At 42.2% G+C, this 23792-nt stretch overlaps 1 protein-coding gene across 2 annotated transcripts in view, besides 1 other annotated feature; it reads right to left on the reverse strand.

The window, feature by feature from the left end:
* SUSD5 (sushi domain containing 5) overlaps positions 505–23792 on the reverse strand; it is a 68768-nt gene continuing 45480 nt past the window's right edge. For both annotated transcript variants that reach the window (XM_005265034.4, NM_015551.2), the window contains one exon: positions 505–4495. In XM_005265034.4, coding sequence (XP_005265091.1) covers positions 3204–4495 — 1292 coding nt within the window. In that variant the 3' untranslated portion in view covers positions 505–3203. The remainder of the gene's footprint in view (positions 4496–23792) is intronic.
* Positions 3277–4476: an enhancer, noted in NCBI's record as "CDK7 strongly-dependent group 2 enhancer chr3:33194307-33195506 (GRCh37/hg19 assembly coordinates)". NCBI's record gives its function as "activates an origin of replication core promoter dependent on BRD2, BRD4, P300/CBP, MED14 and CDK7 cofactors, with strong dependence on CDK7, by STARR-seq in HCT116 cells {active_cell/tissue: HCT116}" and the evidence as "EXISTENCE:reporter gene assay evidence [ECO:0000049][PMID:35650434]".

Genomic DNA, 23792 nt, shown 5'->3' on the forward strand with positions numbered 1-23792 from the left:
AAGTAGGGAGGGAGGGGGGGGCAAGAGTGCCACCAACTTCCCTAAAATCCTGCTGCAGGAGGTAACATAACTGAGAGTTAGGTTTAGAAAGGGCAGTCTTAGATCTTAGATATAGCAAGTATTAAGACATTATTTTCAAGATTACTAGAGATTTTTTTTTTGAATGGAGCCTTGCTCTGTCCCCCACGCTGGAGTGCAGTGGCATGATCTCAGCTCACTGCAACCTCTGCCTCCCGGGTTCAAGCAATTCTCCTGCCTGATCCTCCTGGGTAGCTGGTACCACAAGCATGCTATCACGCCCGGCTAATTTTTGTATTTTTAGTACAGAAAAGATTTCACCATGTTGGCCAGGCTGGTCTCGAACTCATGACCTCAAGTGATCTGCCTACCTCAGCCTCCCAAAGTGCTGGGATTACCAGTGTGAGCCACTGTGCCCAGCGAGAATTTTTTTCTTTTTTTAAACCTTGGTGCAGTAGCCTAGAAATAAAATACATTCAGCAACTGTTGGGGCAATAATTATTTATTTTAAATATCTCAGAAGCTTTGTGTTAATAGAACCCCCTCCCCCAATTTTCATGAGCATTAAACATTCACCATTCTCAAAACATGCATGACATACAATTTAGATTTACATTGTTTTAATCATTCCCTTTCAACATGAATTTTTAGATTCTATAACATTAATTTAGAGGATACCACACCAATAAGAACTTAAAAACTGATGTGTTGGGTTTATTTCACAGTCCATGTCTACAAATAAAACATTTACCTGTATTAATAATTTGTAATAAATTTATTAATACACTGTATTAATAATTTGTAATAAATTTATTAATACACTGTATTAATATTGCCTATTTGTTGGTATAAATCCAATGTTCTGGGTTATTCCACAATAATAGTTGCTAACACAGTCCCAATGCTGAGACAGAGGTTATTTTATATAGTTAAAAATAGAAAAGTTATCTTGCAGTAGATTAGGATCTAATTTATAAATATATACAGTCTCTGGCTTTTATTCTATTATGTTTTGCTTTGGCTACATGCAGAAAGCATTTTATTCCTATTGTTCTTGACTTCGTCTGATGCACAGGTATTCTAGTTGGTACCTTCAGGCTTTATTTTACCCAACTATGGGGAATAAGATCTTTGATTATGCTGCCTCTCTTTACAGCTACTTCGCCTATTACTTTTCCAAAGCTTGCTGAAAAGAGGTGGCAGGGTAGAAAACATGTTGCGAATGTTTTTTTTCCTTAGGTAAAACACCACCAACAATTTTTCAATCATAAAAAAGATCAGGATTTCCCTCTACCACACAAAAACACTTAGACTGCTATGGTGTCTCAAAATAAATGTGTTGCATTCATCACTTTTTACCACTGATAACTATTTCTAAGAAGGTGATTCATATTAGAAAAATATAACATGTTTCATTTCTGTGCCAACATACAGGAGACTATTGCAGGTGGCATTTAGGCAGCTTCAAATGCCACCTCAGCTGCACACAGCCATGCCTGACTTCCACACAACACACACCACATACTCATCTGTGCCTTTAGGGCTTCAGCTGGCCTCGAAGTTCACATTTGAGATTATTATAAACCAACAGGCTCTCAAACTTGAGTGCATATCAAAATCACCTGGAGGGCTTGTTAAAAACAGAACTGGGCCCTACTCCCAGGGTTCCTGTTTCCTGAGTCCAGGGTGGGACTAGAGAATTTGCATCTCCAACAAATTCCCAGGTGACGCTGATGCTACTGGTCTGAGGACCACACTTTGAGAACCACTGCCATAAACCATCCTCGCTGAGCCACCCTAAGATGATTTAGATGCTACGAAATGGGTTACCCAACAGACAGGATGGATTCTGTTTCCACAGAGCTCCCAGTTTCCACACTAGAGAACAGATCAGCACAGATCATTTCATATTCTTTCACAGATTCTTCTGCTTCTCCATCAAGTATGTGCCCATACTTGATAACCTGGTGTTCGGCCCTCTGAAAACATTTCTTTTTTTTTTCTCCCGTGTCATTCTCTCTTACTGGAGTTCAGAGAAATGGTTAATCCTGAGAGAGGAAACCAAGGACTGAGTTTTGTTAGTCCTGGCAAAAATTCCAAGACATTCCTAGGCACAGACTGGTCAAGGACAACTAGGCCACTGCTTCTGAGAGGAAATGGTACTTACTGGTACAAAGCTAACTTTGTTTTTAAAAAATAATGGCAAATCCTTAACCATGAAATATTGAAAATAAAATAAAATAAATGACAGACTGTCCCACAGAATGGAGGGAACAGAGGGGGATGTGTGTTTCTTCACTCCTCAACTCCCCCAACAAAATGTCAGTCTTAAATTCTAATTTCAAGAAACAATGAAAAAAGAAACCTCAAAGCTTCTAGACTGTGTCCTGGCTCTTGGTTCATCTGCCCTCAGCAACATCACAACATTAAAAGGAAACAACCCATTATTCTTCCATATTCCTCTCCCAATAATTCAATATCCATGTCCTAGATAATACTGCTCTCATACACTTGGTTTATCATGACTATTTATAAAATTTCAGGGCATGAAGCTGGTGATTTTCTTTCTTCAAAAAGGTAATACTGTGATGTGGCTCACACCTGGAATCCTAGCACTTTGGGAGGCTAAGGAGGGCAGATCACTTGAGGTCAGGAGTTCTTGACCAGCCTGGCCAACATGGTGAAACTCCATCTCTACTAAAAATATAAAAAAATTAGCTGGGCATGGTGGTGCATGCCTGTAATCCCACCTACTTGGGAGGCTGAGGCAGGAGAATTGCTTGAACTTGGGAGGCAGAGGTTGCAGTGAGCTCAGATCGGGACACTGCACTCCAGCCTGGGCAACAGCATGAGACTCTGTCTCAAAAAAAAAAAGATAATACTGTGATGAAGGAAGAGGCGATTTTTGACCTCACACTGGAAACAGGGCCCAAGCACAGGTCTGGGATTAGTGTAGTCAATTCCAGGGCAGATGGTGGAGGAGACATTGACATGAGTGATGATGTCACCAAAGCCTCCCTGCCCTCCCAGGTGCTCCAGAGACACTTCTCAGCCTATAAAACAAAGGGCTGAGGAAAAAATGATGAGCCTCAGTCCACCTGCGTCATGCTCTAGTGAATTATCGTGTGATGTGTCACAGTTATTTTCCTCCCAAGTGGCTTTGGGAGAACCCACTCCAAAGGTGCCTAGACCTTCTCCATCTCGATCTGCTGGTGGTAGTGCCGAGCCTGCCGCTGGCCAACATTCAGCTTGTACACAGAGCTCTTGTGCTGGCACTTGCGGTAGCCCCACACCATCCCCACACCTGCCAGGAGCAGCAGTAGGCACAGGACGGTGACAATGGTGGCGATCACAGGGCCTCTGCTGAGGCCAGGACATCCGTCCCCCACACACGACTCCAAGGTGGGATGAAGCTCCTCACTTGCACCTGGCCCGGGGCCTTCCTGTCCAAAGAAGTCTTCAGACAGCAGGTATGGGAAGCTATCCTGGATCTCAGGAACAGTGGTTTCTACTGGAGGCTGGGTGGTTGCCATGATCGTTGAGGGGATGTGGTTAGGTGTCTGCTTGACAGTGTTCACTGTTAATATCTCCAGGGTGGAGCTGGTGAGCTCATAGGACAGGGTGGCCATGGGAGATTCCTCTGTGATGAATCTCCAGGGTAGAGTTGACTGGTACTTCGTCAAGTCACCATCCCCAATGCCCTCAGTCTCGGAAGCATTCACGGGTCTGAGCGCCAAAGCTTCCACATCTAGCATTTGAGATGGAAGAACTGAACTATGGGTCATGCCCTCGCTTGGTGTGAGGGTGCTACTCTTGGGCTTCTTAACTTCCACAAGAATGGGCTGATCAGGAGTAACTAGGACGTTTTCATCCAGCCCTACTGACCCATCCCCTCTGTCCCCATCTTCTTCCTCTTCTGCCTCTGTCTTCCTCCAAGCCCCCTCTGTCACAGGGTAGCCATCTAACCAGGACTCATCACTGCTGCTCACCACTGGATCTCCTGCCTTGCTGTCATTCTTGCCCACAAATGGCCCCGAGGGACCATCAGTGTTGCCGTAGATCACCTTGGTTTCAGGTTCACCTGGGACCAATTTTACACCACTGTGGTTGTCTCCAGCAGAAAACTGCTTTTTGGTGTCATCATCCACCTCCTTTTCCAACCCAGGCTTGTGGAAAGCCTCAGCAGGAAACCAGAACAAGTGCTTCTGGAGCAGCCGTGATCCTGGTGAATCTGCGGGGACACTGCTCCCAGCACCAGGCAAGCCTGTGGTTGGCACAAAGACTTTATCCCGGGCTATGTTTTCTCTCCCCACAGAAATGGAGACCAGACGGTCCTGTTTTGGAGCCTCCTCAGAGGAGTCTCCCTGACCCCTGTCCTCATCTGCCTCTGTCCGGGAATCCTCCATGAGCTCTCTGAATGACACAGATCTGTCATCAGGGAAGTTATCTTCATAGTCAATGTGTGCCTCAGCCTCATCTGGAAGAAAAGAGGGAAAAAACCTCATTAGCTCCAAAGGCACAGAGCCAGTATAGAACATAAGAAAAGGAAATTAAAAGCATAAAGGCTGGGACAGAATAAATAATACTGTTATTATTCACAGATGATATGACTGTGTATCATAGATAAACCCAAATAATCTACATATGAATATTACAAGTAACTAAAATTTAACATCTGAGCTTAGGCCGGGCATGGTGGCTCACACTTGTAATCCCAGCACTTTGGGAGGCCTAGGCAGGTGGATCACTTGAAGCCAGGAGTTCGAGACCAGCCTGGCCAACATGGCGAATGCCCATCTCTAATAAAATACAAAAAAATAGCCAGGCATGGTGGCATATGCCTGTAATCCCAGCTACTCAGGAGGATGAGACATGAGAATCGCTTGAACCCGGAAGGCGGACGTTGCAGTGAGCCAACATCGTACCACTGCACTCCAGCCTGGGTGACAGAGTGAGACTCAAAAACAACAACAACAAAAACAACAACTCAAAAACAACAACAACAAAAAACATGTGAGTTTATTAGGGATACTAGGTCTACAGTAAATATAAACATCAATTGTATTTCTAAATATTGTCAATAAACAGAAAATTAAAATTTAAAAGGATGCTATTTACAATAACATTAAAAAAACCAAACACATAGGAATAAATCTAACAAAAGATGTTCAAGACTTCTACATGGAATGATATAAGACATTGCTAAGCAAAATTAAAGAAGACTTAAATGAATGGAGGAATAGACCATGATCATGTAGTAGAAGGCTCAAGATCATTAAGTTGGCAATTCTGTCCAAATCGATCTATACAGATCTAATACAATTCCAATAAAAATCTCAGACATTAACTGAATGTTAAAGTTTATGGAAATGCAATGGATGGAAGTTTATGGAAATGCAATGTAAGAATAGACAAGGCGATATTGAAAAAGAAAAAGCCGGAAGACATATGCAAAACATTTCAAGATTTACTATAAAACTGCATTACCTTTTAAGGCTGTGGTATTGGCACAAGGACAGATAACTGGATTACATTAAAATGAAGATCCTCTGTTCATTAAAAGCTACCACAAAGAGAGTTAAAATGCAAGGCAGAGTTAGAGAAGCTATCTGCAACACATATGACCTCCAAAGGGCTTGTATCCAGAATTTAAAAAGGACTCCCACAAATCTATACTAAGTAGACAGACAAACCATAGAAAAATTGGCAAGATAGTTGACTTGGGACATCACCAGAAAGATATCAGATTAGTCATTAAACATGTGGAAAGATGCTCAACCTCACTAGTAAGAGAGAAATGTTAATTATAGTCATAATGAGATACCACTGCATAGCACCAGAATGGCTAAAATTAAACAGACCGACAATATCAAATGTTAACTAGGATATACAGCACTGTTAGTGGGAGTGTGAACTGGAACAACCACGATGGAAAACTGGGCATCTCTACTAAAATTGAACATATGGATGCTCCATGACACAGCAATTCCACTCCTAAATATATACACTTAACAGTAATGTGTGCATATGGGTACCAAAAGACACGCCTAAGAATGTTCATAATAGTAAAAAACTGGAAGCAATTCAAATGTCCATTAACTGGTACATCAGTTATGGTATACTCAATGCAAATCTGTACATCAATAAACATGAACCAACCACTGCTTCCCACAACAAAATAGATGAATTGCATGGCCATAATGTTGAGCCAGGCACAAAAGTGCACACTCTGTGTTGATTCTATTTATATAAAGTTTAAAAACAGGCAGAATTAATCTATGGATGTCGGAACTCAGGATGGTAGTTACACTTGGGTAGGAGAGAAGGGGTGATGACTGGGTATGGTACAAACAGGACTTTTAGGGTGCTGGCAATATTCGATTTCTTCACCTGTGTCAAGGCCTAAATATCAGTGTTTATTCTTGATAATTCATTGGTTTGTTGCCTTATGATTCGTATGTATTTTATAATTAAGTTCAAAAATGCATCTTTTTTTTTTTTTGAGAGAGAGTCTCGCTCTGTCTCCTAGGCTAGAGTGCAATGGTGCAATCTAGGCTCACTGCAACCTCCGCCTCCCGGGTTCAAGCGATTCTCCTGCCTCGGCCTCCTGAGTAGCTAGGATTACAGGTGCACACCACCACACCCAGCTAATTTTGGTATTTTCAGTAGAGACAGGGTTTCACCATGTTGGCCAGGCTGGTGTCAAATTCCTGACCTTGTGATCCGCCCATCTCGGCCTCCCAAAGTGCTGGGATTACAGGCATGAGTCACCGCGCCCGGCCCCCAAATGCATCTTTTAAAACACTGATTTGCTCTCTGTAAAACTTCCAAGTCATGAGATGATGCTGTAAAGTATTCTGAATTCAACTGAATAAGAAGCAATAGAGCCCCACAACTAGGAGACCAGAATGTAAGGACAGCCCGATGAGAGGGGAATCAACTGGTCAGGAAAGCTCAAGAAGCTGGTGTCCTCAGAAGACAGCAGCAGCCCTTTGACCTTCCCCTCTCTCAATGGTCTTTGAAAGCCAAGTCCTACTGGAAGATACACTTAAATTATTAAAACAGACTGCTTCTCCCACTTAACTTTCAACTTCGGAAGAACAAAATGCACAGAGCTCCAGAGCCAAGGTCTAGATGGAATGCTGAGGTGTCATGTGGTGCATTCCTGGGCTCTGAAACTAGATTAGTGGGTATCTGGCTTATTTCTAAAGGCTGTTAGAGAATAAGACTCTGTATCTTGCTTATTTAATGACTGACAGAGTTATAAATAAAAGTTAACAATCTTTTCTGATCTGCTCCTGACATGTAAGCCCATTCACTTTACATGTGTCCTCAGTCAGAAAAGGGAAACAGTGGATGAAGAGCAAACATCACTGACAAATATCAAATGCATGCGTGTTTTATGCTTAGAAAAGGACAGCCCAATCACACCCCATTGTGTCCTGTTCATAAAACCTCACACAAAAAACATATCAGATGGCTGGACCATTCTAATGAGCCTTGTAGAATTCACATACAGGCTCCCAGGGCTCAGTCAGGCCCTTCACATTCCCTGTTATATCCTCATTTCAAAACCTGCACTGACCCACTCCTTCATTCAACAGACCTCACTGAGTGCTGACTATGTGCTAGAGTTTGGGATCACTGGTGAACAGGATAAATACTCCCTCCCCCGTTGGAGCATATGGGACAGAATCTCATGGTCTTGCATCCTATAGGGTTGAACTTCAAAGATTTTGTGTGCATAAATTTTCACCCAACATTCTGAATGGGCGTTAGGTTTTGCATTGAAGTACTGTCCTTCCTTCAAAAAACAACAAAATGAAATGAATGCCACTATGACAGAACTTTTCACTACAATTTACCCAAAACATACAGACAAGTCACACTGAGATTTAAGAAAGTCATGACGTATATCTTTGACCTCAGGATAAGGTGGTTAGATTGCTTGTGCACATGTGTGTACTTACTGGCTGTGGAAGACAGACTGCAATAATGGCCACAAATCTCCACTTTTCCCTGCATCAAGTCCTTTTGCAATGTGACTTTGCACCTCTCTTCCTATGAAAAGATGGGGCCCATTTTTTCATCTCTAGAATCTGGGCTGACCTTGTCCCTTGTTTTGACCTACTGAACGCAATGAAAGTGTTGCATACCTTTGCTCTCTGCCTCGGAGCCCTGCCAGCTGCCATGTGAACAAACCTGGATGCTGAAGGATAAAAGACCCCATGAAGGAGAGGTAAACGTCCCAACTGAGGCCACCGTAGATTAGCCAGCTGTGGCTGACCACATTCACCTGAGTGAGCCCAGCCCAAACTGCTGACTCAAAGAACTGGAGCAGAATAAATTGTTGTTTCATGCCACTAAGTTTTTGGGGATGGTCTATTATGCAGAAAAAGCTAACTAACACACTAGCAATGAGCTGCTTGGGGAGCAGGCCCCAAGGCATTGTGTCCCTAAAGTAGAACAGTGCTTATCTACTATAGGTATTCTTATAGGTATTCTTGAGTGAGTGAAAGAATAAATGGTTCTGGAAGGAAAACAAGGAAAAGTCTGCAACAGCTCAGATCCCAAGCTTCTCTTCATTGCTACCTTAAAACTGTTCAGCACTGGGATCAGTTTCCAGGAGCACAGTCTCCCAAAACACAAGAGGACTATAGGCCCACTTCTAAATTACACGGAATAAATCACTTGTACCCATAGTCTCTCATAACACCCCGAAGACCCTCTGAAAAGACGCCATTGTTGAAGGACCAATTGAATACAAACACACACAGGTGTGCACCACATACGTGCACACAACACACACCCTCACACACTGGTGAGCAAATCGCTGCCACAGCCTGGCTGGTGAGAGCATCTCTTCTCATCCCAGCCTCTCCTTGGTGCCCACATCCCTATCAATTTCAAAGGGTAGCCTAGTAGAACTCCCTCCCCACTGCTAGTCGATTTCAAGCAGAATGGTGACCCCGCTCCATCAAAGCTTGCTCCTAATGCAAAGAAGCTTGGCATTCCACATGTCTGACCAGTCATTTTTGCCCCAAATCTGCCCCAACCAATTTGTTCTTAATTAAAGAAAAGAACATATTCTGCGGTACTGCAGAAGAAATTATCTTTGTGAAACAATACACCTTTGCCAGTTGTCTCCTAGAGGTTCTGCTGTTGAGGATGAATATCCCTGTTCTCAGCCAGAACCCGGCCCCCTTTCATGAGGGGTAAGGTAGGAAGCAGTAACTCTCCAAGATCATTTTTCCTCAAGAAGCTTCCACCCACTCGAAAGCATAGGCCATCACTTCATGCACCAGCTATACCTTAAGGCCTCTTTCCACACGTCATTTTACTAGGGAATATTTTTTGTTGCCTCATTGCAGCCCCAAGACATCGAACCGTGAAGAACCCCAGATTCTATTTTATTCCATGGTATTTTTGTCATTTCCCATTCTTGCTTGCACGAATCCGGAGAGTGCATTCATTTTCTTTCAGGTCATCAACTATAGCTCACTGACTGTTGGGAGTAAACAAGCTGTTTGTGCTGAACTCAGTCAGCATGATGAAAGGGAACAACATTTGCACAGAGCTTTGCCAAAGGCAGTCCTAGGTGATGGGAAAGCTGGCAGGCTGTCGGTGTCAAGGTGGGTGGTGAGTCGAAGTGCTTCCTCACTGTCCTCATGGACCACCATCTTGTCACCTCTGCAGATACCAAGACTGATACTGTCCACGGGAAAGCAGAATTCTACCCAAATAACCAACAGCTAAAAAGAAGTGTGACTGTAGGGATACTCAAAATCTTCCAGCACCTCAGAGTATCTGTGGCCCTGACAAGTCTCGCTGTAACCTCTGCTCCGGCTTCTTCCCTGTCTCTTATGCCCACACCCCATATTTCACTTCCATCTGCCCCAGTGCTCCCTGCCTTTTTGTTCTTGCTTCTGGCTGCCCGTCCCTCTGCTCTTCTTCCTCCTTCTTCTACCTCATCACTTATGTTCCAGACCACTAGAATATGTACTGGGGATACAGGCCAAAATTGCCTTATGAGCAGGGTGCATTACAGGCTACACTTGAAAATATCTAAGTGTTCCAGTTGAAACTGTATCGTATATTTTTCCCTCCCCCATACCTACCAAAATGGGGAAACACCACCAAACACACCCATACACACACACACACACACAAACACAAACATAAAACTGGGCTTACTGAATGTGAATTTCTAAAAATGAGGAAACTATACTAAACATCAGCAAAAACATTTTACCAACAGCAACCTCACGAAAAGGGAATAATATATTGCAATGAATTTCAGAAACTAGTTACCAAGAGGAGAAACAGAGGGTTCTAAAGAAGACTGGACAAGCGTGACCTGGCTTAGCTCCTAACCCACCCTCACCCTTCAGAAATGGTCCTGGGAGTCAGCAAATCCTAGAGAGACGCAAAGTGGATGGAGAGAACCAGACCAGTAACCAGGAGGGCTGCTTCTTCCTGACAGAATCTGAAATGGCAAGACTTCACATTGTGCAAGGGAAGGAAACTTTGATATAGAACATTTAAAACATTTCTGAGGAAAAAGCAGAACCCAGACTTAAAAAAATTGTTTTATGTTTTGCAGAGACAGCGTCTCACTATGTTGCCCAGGCTTGTCTTGAACTTCTGGTCTCAAGCAATCCTCCCACCTCAGTCTCCCACAGTGCTGAGATTACAGGCATGAGTCACCATGCCCAGTCACGCCCAGATATATTAAAAACAAACAAATAAACAAACAAGTAAAATATCTGAGGCAGGGGGATCATTTGAGGCCAGGAGTGAGACCAGCCTCAGCAACAAAGTGAGACTTCATCTCTTAAAAAAAAAAAAAAAAATTGGGTGTGGTGGCACACACCTGTAGTCCTAGCTACTCGGCAGGCTGAGGCAGGAGGATCACTTGAGCCCAGGAGATTGAGGCTGCAGTGGGCCATGACGTGCCACTGCACTCCAGCCTGGGCAACATACTACTTCAGCTGACTTGTCCCCTTACGGCCACCATTCCCTCTTCTGGATTAAAGGACTGTTTCACAACACAAAACTTAATAAGAAAGTGAGTGCAATAAAACAAAGCTCAAAGGTAATGTGTAAAATAACAGAATGTTATGAAAAGGGTGGTTATGAACTTCAGGCATCAAATTCAGGACCAATGTAGCATCATGACAGAACTAAAAAATCAGTTAGAAACTTCAAAGAACAGAGCAGACTGAGAATTTTATAAAACCAGAAAAAAAAGACAGAAGAGACATATTCAAGAATCACTACAAACCTCAAGCAGAATAAATTCACATAAATTGCCTACAGCCATACCAAATTAAAACTGCTAAAAACCAAAGACAGAAGAACGTAAAAGCAACCTGTGAAAGCAAATATATAATGTTTGATAAAGCAACAATAAGATTGAGAGGTGACTTTTCAAAAGAAACAATAAAAGCCGGAAGACAATGTGATAAAATATTCAAAATGTTAGAAGAAAAGAACTGCCAATATGGAATTTCTTACTCTATGAAAATGTCATAGATGGAAGCTCAGAGATGCAGGAAGGAAAGAACAATGAAATAGTAAATATGGAGGCAGAGCTAAGTGAATGTTGACTGCATAAAACAACAACATATACACACACACACAATATTCATTCAGAACATTTGACAATAGCATAGAAGCTGGGAGGAGGTAAATGGAGTCAAAGTGTTTGATGGCTTTAAATTAGCCAGGAAATGGTGTAACTATTAATTAATATTAAACTTCTATATGTCAAGGGTGCCTGTTATAATTTCTAGAGTAACCACTGAAAGGAGAGTAAAAGACTATTAGAAGGTAATAGAAGGGGTAAACATAATAAGTAAAAAATGCTTAATTGCTTCGAAAGAAGGCAGGAAAGCAGAGAAAAAGGAACAAAGGACAAATAGGAAAGAGAGAAAACAAAAACGACAGTAATTTTAAAACCAAATCTACCGATGGTTAAATGTAAAATGGATTAATGCTACTATTGAAAGACAAAAGGTGTCAGCTTGTATAAAGAAACAGAACCCATGTACCTGGTATTTATAAGAGACACACTTTAAATATAAGTACACAGATGAGTTGAAAGTAAAAGAATTAAAAAAAGTCACGAAGAGGCTAACCAGCAAAAAAGACTTTAAGGCAAAAAATACTTAGTAGAGATAAAGAAGGCTCTTTCATAAAGATAAATGTTTCAATTCACCTGGAAGATATCAAATTTTAAAATTGTATGTACTTAATAATATAGCCTCAAAATATAGGAATCTAACAGACATGAACTAAAAGAAGACACTGATAAATCCATGATCATAGTGAGATATTTTAAACATCTCTATCATTAATAATTATAACAAATAGAAAAAAGGTAAGAATATAGATTTGAACAACACATTTAATAAATATGACTTCTTTGAAATGTGTAGATGACATCCAACAACTATAGAATAAATGTTCTTTTCAAGTGCACATAGAATAATTTTTACAAAATAGACCATAAAAGAAGTATCAACAAACTTTAAAGGACTGAATCATACATACATTTTCTGGTCATAGTGAGATTAACTTAGACAAAAAATTACTTAAAAATTCCCCTATGTATAGAAATTAAACAAAACATGTCTAAATAACTCATGGCTCAAGGGAGAAATTACTGTGGAAATCAGAAAACATTCTAACTGAATGATAATGGAAATATGACATATCAAAACTTGTGGGAAACAGCAAAAGCTGAGCTCGGGGGAAGTTATACCTTTAAATATCTATGTGAGAAAAGAAGAAAGGCTGAAAAATCACATTGATTTCCCGAAGCTGGGTAAAGAAAATTAAGTTAAAAACAAAGAAATAGAAGAAGGAGATTTTTAAAAGAGGAGAAATAAATAAAAAACAAACACACAATACAGAAAATCGACATAGTCAAAAGTAAATTCTTTGAACTGACGAGTAAGGTTGATAAACTCCTAGCAAGACTAATTAAGAAGAATTTAGAGAAGATGCAAATGAAAAACATTAGGAATAAAAAAGGCATCATCACAGATGTTTCAGGTATTAGAAAATACAATAGCAGGACTTCATGATAAAAATTTATATCCAGGAAGCTGGCTGGGCATGGTGGCTTGCGCCTGTAATCCCAGAACTTTGGGAGGCTGGGGTGGGTGGATCACCTGAGGTCAGGAGTTTGAGATCAGCCTGGCCAACACGGTGAAACCCTATCTCTACTAAAAATACAAAATTAGCAGGGCGTGGTGGCACATGCCTGTAATCTGAACCTGGGAGGCAGAGGCTGCGGTGACCTGAGATGGTGCCATTGCACTCCAGCCTGGGCAACGAGAGCAAAACTCCATCTCAAAAAAAAAAAAAAAATTATGTCCAGGAAACTAAAAATTCTGATGAAATAGAAAAATTTCTAGAGAAATACAACTTACCAAAAGTGACACAAGAGGAAATAGAAAAATTTTATATACCATTAACAAAACTGAATCTCTCCACACACACAAAACTCTAGGCACAGGTGGATTTACCAATGAATTCCATCAAATGTTTAAGAGGATAATTCCAATCTTATACAAACTCTTCCAGACAAAAGAGAAAGAGGAAATACTTCCCAATTTATTTTATATATACAGTGTAACCTTGGTACCAAAACCTGGCAAGGACATAATAAAAAGGAAATACTGCAGACCAATCTCACTGAACATAGATGCAAAAGTCCCATATAAAATGTTGGCAAACTGAATCCAGCAATAAGTTAATGTCGGTAAGCTGGGTTAAGCTTTAATATATTAAGTATATATTAAAAGTTAATATATTAAAAGAATAATACATTATACCTAGTTAGATTTATCCCAGGAATTTATCATTGGTTTAATATTTGAAAAAAAGGAGTTTTAGAAAAGCATCTGACAAAGTCAACAAGATAAAAACCCTTAGAAATTAGGAATATGAGGAAACTTCCTTAACCTGATTTTTAAAATACACCTTTTTGTTTCTTTTAAAAATATATAGGCTGGGCCAGGCGTGGTGGCTCATGCTTATAATCCCAGCACTTTGGGAGGCCAAGGTGAGTGGATCACCTGAGGTCAGGAGTTCTAGAGCAGCCTGCCAACATGGTGAAACCGTGTCTCTACTAAAAAAATATAAAAAATGGCCGGGTGCGGTGGCTCACGCCTGTAATCCCAGCACTTTGGGAGGCTGAGGCGGGCGGATCACGAGGTCAGGAGATCGAGACCATCCTGGCTAACACAGTGAAGCCCCATCTGTACTAAACAAAATACAAAAAATTAGCCGGGCATGGTGGCAGGCACCTGTAGTCCCAGCTACTTGGGAGGCTGAGGCAGGAGAATGGTGTGAACCCGGGAGGCGGAGCTTGCAGTGAGCCGAGATCGCACCACTGCACTCCAGCATGGGTGACAGAGCAAGACTCCGTCTCAAAAAACAAAAACAAAAACAAAAAATTACCCGGGTGTGGTTGCAACTGCCTGTAATCCCAGCTGCTCAGGAGGCTGAGACAGGAGAATCACTTGAACCCAGGAGGTGGAGGTTGCAGTGAGCCAAGATCTTGCCACGGCACTCCAGCCTGGGCGACAGAGCAAGACTCTGTCTCAAAGAAAAAAAAAGATATATAGATATAGATATATAGTTTCCTTTATATAAAGCCAGTCACAAAAATAAACCTAATACAGTGTGATTCCACTTACATGAGGCTTTGATAGTAGTCACATTTATAGAAACAGAAAGTAGAATGGTGGTTACCAAGGGCTGAGGGAAAGGAGAAAAAGAAGAAGTTTTATTTAATGAGTATAAAGTTTCAGATTTACATGATGAAAAAGTTAGGGAGATCTGTTTCGTAACAATGTGAATATGCTTAACACTACTTATCTGCACACTTGAAGATGGTTAAGATGGTAAATTTTATGTTATGTGGTTTTTATCACAATTTTTTTAAAAAGGGAAGGATTAATAAGTTATACTACATTAAAATTCTATTTATGAAGGATACTATGAAGAACATGAAAAGGCAACTTACCTAACAGAAGACATTTGCAACATAAATAACCTTGAAAGTTCTGGTATCCAGAATAATATAAAGGACTCCTACAAATAAATATAAAATAGCCCAGTAGAAAAATGGGCAGGAGAACTGAATAGGCACTTCACAAATGAGGTATTCTAATAGCCAGAAAACATATGAAAAGGTGCTTAACATCATTAATCAGGGAAACTCAAATTAAGTGACATCACAACATACCCATCAATATGGCTAAAAATTTCCAAGACTGACAATACCAATTGTTGATGGGGAGGTAAGGCTCCCAGAACTCTTATACATTGCTCTTCAGAGCATAAATTGTTACAACCATTTGGGCATTATCTTGTTGGGTATTATCTACTAAAGTTGAACACACACACACACACACACACACACACACACACACACGTATGATCCAGCAATTCAACTCTAAATTATATAGACAAAATTCTAGAAAATGCAAAACTCTAGAGGAATACATGTAACATGGTCACCAAAAGACCTGTGCAAGAATGTCCTTATAATAGCCCCAAACATGAAACAATGAAAAATAATCCTAACAGTAGAATGGAATACTCCAAAGCAAAGAAAAAGAGTGAACAGCTCACAGAGCAACATGTATGTGTCTCACAGACATAATGTTGGGCAAAGGAAGCCATACACAAGAGTACATAATGTATGCTTCCACTTAAATAAAATTCAAGTGAGGTGGGCGAATGTAATTTATTAAGTAGTGTGGATAGTGGTTACTCTAAGGGAGGCTGGGACTGAAAGGGAGCACCAGGAGTGTTTCTGGATGGCTGGTGGTGGTCTGCTTCTTGACCTGGGTGCCGATTACATGGGTGAGTTTATGGTATGATAATTCACTGAACTCTATAATATTTGATTTTTGAAATGTTCTGTATTTATCTTACTCTTAAGTAAAAATATAAATAGACAATCAGAAGTGGACACCATGTACCAGGAAAAACTGGCACAGTATTTGGCTGCTGAATGCCAAGGATGAAGAAATAATTCAACTGATATTCAGGAAGAAAAGGCAAATCCCATGCAAGAACAAAATTAAATCAGGCTTGCCTAAAATTTCACCTCATCATGTTCAGTGGTAGAAGAAAAAAGAACAATGGCTATAATCTTTGAGGGACAGAAAATGTAATTCAACAATATTGTACTTTGTTAAGATGTCATTCAATTTTATATCAACAGTAGGCATTCATTCATCTTAAGATGTCTGTGCTATCTCAAGAACAATATACTGTGTGCCCAGGTGCAGTGGCTCATGCCTACAATCCTGGCACTTCGGGAGCCCGAGATAGGAGGATCACTTGAACCCAGGAGTTCAAGACTAGCCTGGACAACATAGTGAGACCCACTGCACCGCAGCCTGGGTGACAGAGTGAGACCCCCCTCTCCAAAAAAAAAAAAAAAGGAAAGAAAAGGAAAACACACTGTGTAATATTGTGCATGTGTTACTTATGTTAAGCTGTAACCCAGCTGCTGCTGGTATTCCAATTAAGAATTCACTCTGGGACGGACAGTTAGCATTCCCACTAGAAAAAATCCTCCTCCAGATGTGGCTAATACAAGTACTTCTTTATTTGTATCTTGACCAAAAACATTGCTTTGCTAATTAATACCCTGAATATCTGAAACAGCTTTCTATTGGTAAAATTAGTGACCTATTAACTACCAATGACAAATATTAGAAATGGGCTTTCACTGGTAAAATGAAAGGTATATATGATATAGGGATTGGGTAAAGATACCTTAGAAACACTTCATGCTCTTATACGGATAGGGTAAAACCAATTTAGATCTTGATGGTGCTTGACACTTGAACCCTAAAAGGTCTCAGTTTGGGACTAATGTGTTACTCACCAGAATGCTGGGAACAGCATCCATCCAGAACAGAGTTCACCGCTGTCACCATGCACTGACCACACCACCCTGCTCTCGCCACACAGCCTGCCCAACTCCCCACTAGCCCAGGAACTTCCTGAGAACAAGGGCATGTCCCCCCTGCCTTTGTATTCCCCCTGCCCACAGCATGGTGTATGGCATATAGTAGGCACTCCATAAATGTTTGCTGAATAAATAAATAAATAAATTAGTGAAGAGATGAATTAGTGGGTGTGAATTACAGTTTTTACAAAGCTTGATGCAGTCTGGAAGTCCATCAGCCAGGGCATCATTTGATTCATGAGAGAGGCAAAGAATGATAAATGACTTTTGAGTTCCAGTATTGGGGATAATCAATGTCTGCTAACTTCAACCTCCTGTGTTACCCATCCCATGAGCTTAAATATTGGTGGCACATGCCTGTAATCCCAGCACTTTGGGAGGCCGAGGCAAGTGGATCACCTGAGGTCAGGAGTTCGAGACCAGCCTGGCCAACATGGCGAAACCCTGTCTCTACTAAAAGTACAAAAATTAGCTGAGCGTGGTGGTGCGTGCCTGTAATCCCAGGTACTCAGGACGCTGAGGCAGAAGAACAGCTTGAACCCGGGAGGCGGAGGGTGCAGTGAGCCGAGATCACACCACTGCACTCCAGCCTGGGCAACAAGAGCGAGACTCCATCTCAAAAAAATATATATATATATAAATATATATATAAAACATAAAGTCAAAAGGCACCTGGAACACAGGCAGAAGATGAGTATGTTCTCCTCTCTCACTTTTTTGTGTGTGCAGGCAACACTGGCTTAGCATTTAATATTAGAGCAAGGATCTGGGAAAGGTCAGCTCACCCTGGCTGTGGCCTTGACCTGGACACTTACAGTCTGAACTATGTGTGTTTGTTTGTGTGCATGCATGCGTGTGTGTGTGTCTGTGTATGCATGGATGTGCATGTGATTGTGTGTGTATGTGTGTGTGTGTCTCTGTATGGGTGTCTAAGGTTCTGCCTCCAGAGCTCCCTGAGGCTACAGCAACCCTGGGCAGAAGCCCAGGGCCCCGAACTAAGCTCTTCCTGTCTCCCCAGGTTCGCAGGTCAAGGTCCTGACTTAAAAACAGGTTGTCAGTATATCACAGTTTCCCCAAAACCTCAAATGAAGACAAGAATGAGTGTTTACAATTAGCCTACTTATGAAGAAGTATCCAAAGCTTATTTTTCTCCCCATGGGGAACAGTAACATTTGTTATTCACCAGATTTCAACCAACAAGCACATTCTGCCCACAAGATGGAGAAGCCCAGCTCTCTGCCTGTGGAGGTACTGTATCTCTCACCTCCCCTCTGCTTTCCTGAGTCTGCACTCTGACTCAGATCATTCAGCCATCCTTCTAGCTCTGCCCTCACCCGACCCTCTCTGTGAAAACCTGTGCTAACACAACATGGGGCCTTCTGATTTAGACAAACAAGTCTAGGAAATGTAAGCTTTGTGGCTTCTCCTGGCAAAATGCAGGTCATTCACTGTGCATTTATATTTAACTGCTACTTTTGGAAAACAGAAGAGCACAGAAAGTCATACGTCAGGACTGAAAAGTGCAGGCTGGCTTGTGCACTGCTTGTGTATTTTATCAGAGTGGGATGTGGCTGGGGGCTGCAGGAGACAGGCCAGAGCCCAGTATCTGGGGTTCTCCCAGGGCTGCTACTTTCCATCTTTTTTTACTTTGCTGCCTTTCTGGAAGCCCCACACGTACCCTCTTTTTTTTTCCCTCTGTTCTTGGCTACACAGCCTTTAAAAATAGTAATTTTAAAAAAGACAACCAGACAAGCCAGAAATAACTACTGGTTCAATAAACCTCTGAACAAATATGGCAATTTTTGTTCCTGACAAGGAAATTCTAAATTCAGTTTCAGTCTCATGCCTTCTTCTATGAAGGAAATTAAGTCTAAAAGATGGAGAAAAACAGAAATAGAAGTTAATTTAAGAAAACAAAATAATACCTGTAGAAATGAGAAAAGAGCAAAGGAACTTACTGAGGGGACAGCTAGTTTGCAAGTGAGGAGGTGTGCTGCCCCGAGGCCTCGTTCTCCTCCCCATCTCAGGGCCCTGGAGGCAGCACATAGCATGATGCAGATATCAGGACAGGATATGCCTGGTTTTATTTTTTATTTTTATTTTTTTGAGACAGAATCTCACTCCGTTGCCCAGGCTGGAGTGCAGTGGGGTGATCTTGGCTCACTGTATCCTCCGCCTCCTGGGTTCAAGTGATTTCTGTGCCTTAGCCTCCCAAGAAGCTGGGACTACAGGCATGTGCCACCACACCTGGCTAATTTTCGTATTTTTAGTACAGACAGGGTTTGGCCATGTTGGCCAGGCTGGTCTCAAACTCCTGGCCTCAAGTAATTGGCTCGCTTTGGCCTCCCAAAGTGCTGGGATTACAGGCATGAGCCACTGCACCTGGCCAGACATGCCTGGTTTTAAACCCCGGCTCTGCTTCTTTCTGGTGTCTGACACAGGCAAGTCACTGAACCTTCCTGTACCTCAGTGTTCCCATCTATAAATTGGTACTCGACATTTCTACGGAATTCCAGACTTGTGAAAGATTAAATGAGATGAAGTGTGTAAAACTATGGTAGAAAGGGGCACAAGGAAACTTGGGAATGATGGAAGTGTTCTATATTTTAGTTATAATGGTGGTTTCATGAGTGTATACACCTGTGACAGTTCAGATAAATTTATACTTTTTTTTTTGGAACGAAGTTTCGCTCTTGCTGCCCAGGCTGGAGCACAATGGCACAATCTCAGCTCACTGCAACCTCTGCCTCCTGGGTTCAAGTGATTCTTCTGCCTCAGCCTCCTGAGTAGCTGGGATTACAGGCGCCCGCCACCACGCCCGGCTAAGTTTTGTATATTTAGTAGCGACGGGGTTTCACCATGTTGACCAGGCTGGTCTTGAACTTCTGACCTCAGGTGATCCACCCGCCTCGGCCTCCCAAAGTGCTGGGATTACAGGCATGAGCCACCACGCCTGGCCGAATTTATACTTTAAATGAGTACAGTTTATGGTATGCAAATTAAACCCAATAGAGTTGTTGAAAAAGCAGGCCCAAAAAACAACTCCCAGAAGACAGACAGCATGGAGTGAGTGTTTGGTTTATAACAGCTTTGTTCTCAATGCCTAACTGGGCAATGTGTCTTGTTTCCATGGCTGTGTCAGATCAGGGAAGGGAAAAACAAAAGCTGTACATTTGCTGTTGGACTCAGAGGCGGCGAGGCTGGTGGAGGGAGGTCCAGCTTGGGGTCAAGCACTTTCCTGATACTGCAGCCCAGAAAGCAACAAACAGAACCGATGGAACTGAGGGTAGGGGTGGGCCTTTCTGAGCCTGTCTTCACACTTGGCGGCAGATAGCCCTGTGGCATCTTTTCTTTTCTTTCTTTCTTTTTTTTTTGAGACAGAGTCTCGCTCTATCACCCAGGCTGCAGTGCAGTGGCACGATCTCAGCTCACTGCAACCTCCGCCTCCCGGGTTCAAGCAATTCTCCTGCCTCAGCCTCCCGAGTAGCTGGGACTACAGGCGCAATGCCACCACGCCCAGCTAATTTTTGTATTTTTAGTAGAGATGGGGTTTTTCCATGTTGGCCAGGGTGGTCTTGAACTCCTGACCTCAAGTAATCCTCCCGCCTTGGCCTCCCAAAGTGCTGGGATTACAGGCATGAGCCACCGCGCCCGGCCGCATCAGGACTTTTCTGTAATTAGGGCAACAACCAATTTTAGTTAGATTCTGAGTACATTAGAGAGGGCATGACAGACATTTCCTGCTACCAAACTGGGAATGGAAACCAAGAACATGTGTGGATTTTGACAGGATTATGGAAGACTAAATGGCCAGAACCAGACCTGAACTCTAGGGACCAGAGCTAGAGAAGTACCAATACACAGAGGGGAGAAAATGGCAGTTAAATAAGTCCTCGCCCATTTCAGTGAACGGTCAAGACAGAAGTCCCCGTGCTTAAGTGAGAGACTGCATCCCCACCACTTAAGCCTGGAATGTTGCTTGTGAACACACAGCCTGGTCGGCGTGTGGCTGAGGGACCCTCCTACACCATCCACTCCCTCACCTTTTGCTACCCACCAGGTATGCGTGCCACACACTAGGAAGCTACCAGCTGCGTGGGTCTCTATCAAGTCTGAAAGCCACACTGGCCATGCCCTTCTGGAAAGGCCAGCTGCCGGTCTCCAGAATCTGGGAAGCCTGCTGGCAGAGATTAACTTCTCACCCAAGTAACAGACAGTTGAAGTCACAGGCTGTCGTTAGTTATTCATGGTAACAGGGGCTAGAGTTAATAACACACAAGGAAGTGAGCAGCCAGTGTCATGCACAAATCCCTTTAGATACCTTAGGTGAAAGGGCCTGAAAGGTCTCATTGATCAGCACATAGGTGAAAGAGAATGAACATTTACTGACCCCCATACTATATTATAGGTCCTATTCTAAATGATATATTCGCAGGAACCTCATCTCTAAGGTATCTCTGTGATAACTAGTACCTATTTTTAAAATATGGGTACTATGGGCCGGGTGCAGTGGCTCACACCTGCAATCCCAGCACTTTGGGAGGCCGAGGTGGGTGGACTGCCTGGAGTCCTGCTCAGGAGTTCAAGACCAGCCTAGCCAACATGGCGAAACCCCATCTCTACTAAAAATACAAAATTAGCCAGGCGTGGTGGCGCATGCCTGTAATCCCAGCTATTCGGGAGGCTGAGGCAGGAGAACTGCTTGAACCCGGGAGGCAGAGGTTGCGGTGAGCCGAGATCATGCCACTGCACTCCAGCCTGGCGACAGAGCGAGACTCCTTCTTAAAAAAAAAAAGGGTATTATGGGCAAATTAAGGCTCAGAAAAGTCAAGAAAACGGTTTTCTCTTCTTCTCATCCTTTCTGTCATTGTTTAAATAAGCTGAAATCTCTTGTTGTAGGAAATTTTTTTAAAAAGCATCTTTAAAAGAAATCACCTTAAAAATAACAACAGCAAGCAAGCAAACAAAACAAACCCCTACAACCTCTTTGGACCTCTGATCTTCTTCCAGCTCTATCGTTTGTGTCTTCCCTATTCCGCTTCATGCAGCAGCAGAAATTTGAACCTGAGTTGTCAGTCCTTGGCCTTCTTCCTCCCTGCATCTTATTCCTGTATGCACTGCAGCGTGGCTATGGTACATCCCCCACCCTCCACATACACACTGAAAACACAAGGCTGTCAGAACCTCCTTCACACAGTGAAGCCAACGCATACATGTTAGCTTTCATTTACTTGTTTTCTATAGCCTCTGGGTTTACTGAGCACTTCCTCCACATCTGGAAACACACTTCCTGTAAAACGTCACCTTCTGTGACACCTCAATTTCCAGTCTCTATCTCATCATCTACTGCTTTTCTGTGTCTTTGAGGAACCCAGTTTACTAGAGTTTCCTTTAGGGTTGAGACAGTGTTTACTCAACTTGTATACACAGCACCTAGGATCCTGCCAAATGATGGGATGTGGAATGAATGAATGGATCAATGTCCAATCAGCCAGTACAACGAAGAGTGATTATCCAAACCCAGATGGATCCAATTCCAAAATCCTTGTTTGACCCACTCCCCCAAGTTGACTTTTCTCCAATTTGAAGCAATTCATCTGGTGAAGATACTCTTGTAAAACACACACACACACACACACACACACACACACACACACACACTCTTCTTACAAGGACACAGATAGCTTAAATGTTAAACTCTCAGACACTGTTAACAATCTGTATATCCAGCCCAAGCATATAAACCAGAATTCCTGCCCAGCAGCTTAAAGCTTTAACAACTGCATTGCAGTGGGAACATAAAGATCATTTTGGACCCGCAAAACCTGCATTTAGTGCTCATTCAACTAGGGCTAGCAAACAACCCATTTGGCTGTGGGTGTGGCTCATGAGATGGTGCAACTTCAGCACCTCACTGGAACATTAACAACTCAGGGTGGGTATGGGCCTGCTTCAAGGCGACATATTGGACCAACAGGAAGCTTGGTGCTTATGCTTGATTTTCTTGGGCAGGTGAATGATCAGAATTGGCAAGTAGCTCCCGCCTGGCACAAAGCAACAGGAACAGAAGAAAGATGAGGAAAGTTCTAGAACATTGCTCAAACTGTGCTTTCAGCACTTGTCCCAGTCTGTAACTTGTTATTAGGTATGCAACAAGGCAAGTAGAAACACCCAGAAAGTTTTTAGAAACTTTTGCAACAATTTGACAGGGGAATTTTATGTCTACTTAATTTAACACAGATTGTGCTTATATTTAGAATCTATTTTATTTTATATTAATTCATTTTTATTGCATTTTACGAAGTATTAATCAGCTAATGACTACAAAAAATGTGTAAGAGTTCACAAAGAATTTGAAAAGTAGTGAAATAGAAAACTACAAAACCAACTCATTAAAAGACACTGTGAGTTTGAAAAGATAAGCCACAGAATGAGAGAAAATACTTGCAACACATTAATTATGAATATTTCATGTAAAAATTCTATAATATGTAAATGATCAAATTCAAATCAATTAGAAAAATGGGAAAAGTACCTGGACATTTTACACAAAGAAATTCTAATGCCCTATTAACATGTGATAAGTGCTTGACCTCACTATTATCAGAGAAATGAATATTACGACTACAAATCACCACAGAGCTGTCACCAGACTGGCAGTCCTAAAGCTGATGAGGTGCTGAACGACAAGGACTCTCAGACACAGCTGATGGGAGAGCAGACTGGGCAAATACTTTAGAGAACACTTTGGCAGCATCAGCTGCAGCTG

Source organism: Homo sapiens, chromosome 3, assembly GCF_000001405.40.
Source record: "Homo sapiens chromosome 3, GRCh38.p14 Primary Assembly".
Taxonomy (NCBI): domain Eukaryota; kingdom Metazoa; phylum Chordata; class Mammalia; order Primates; family Hominidae; genus Homo; species Homo sapiens.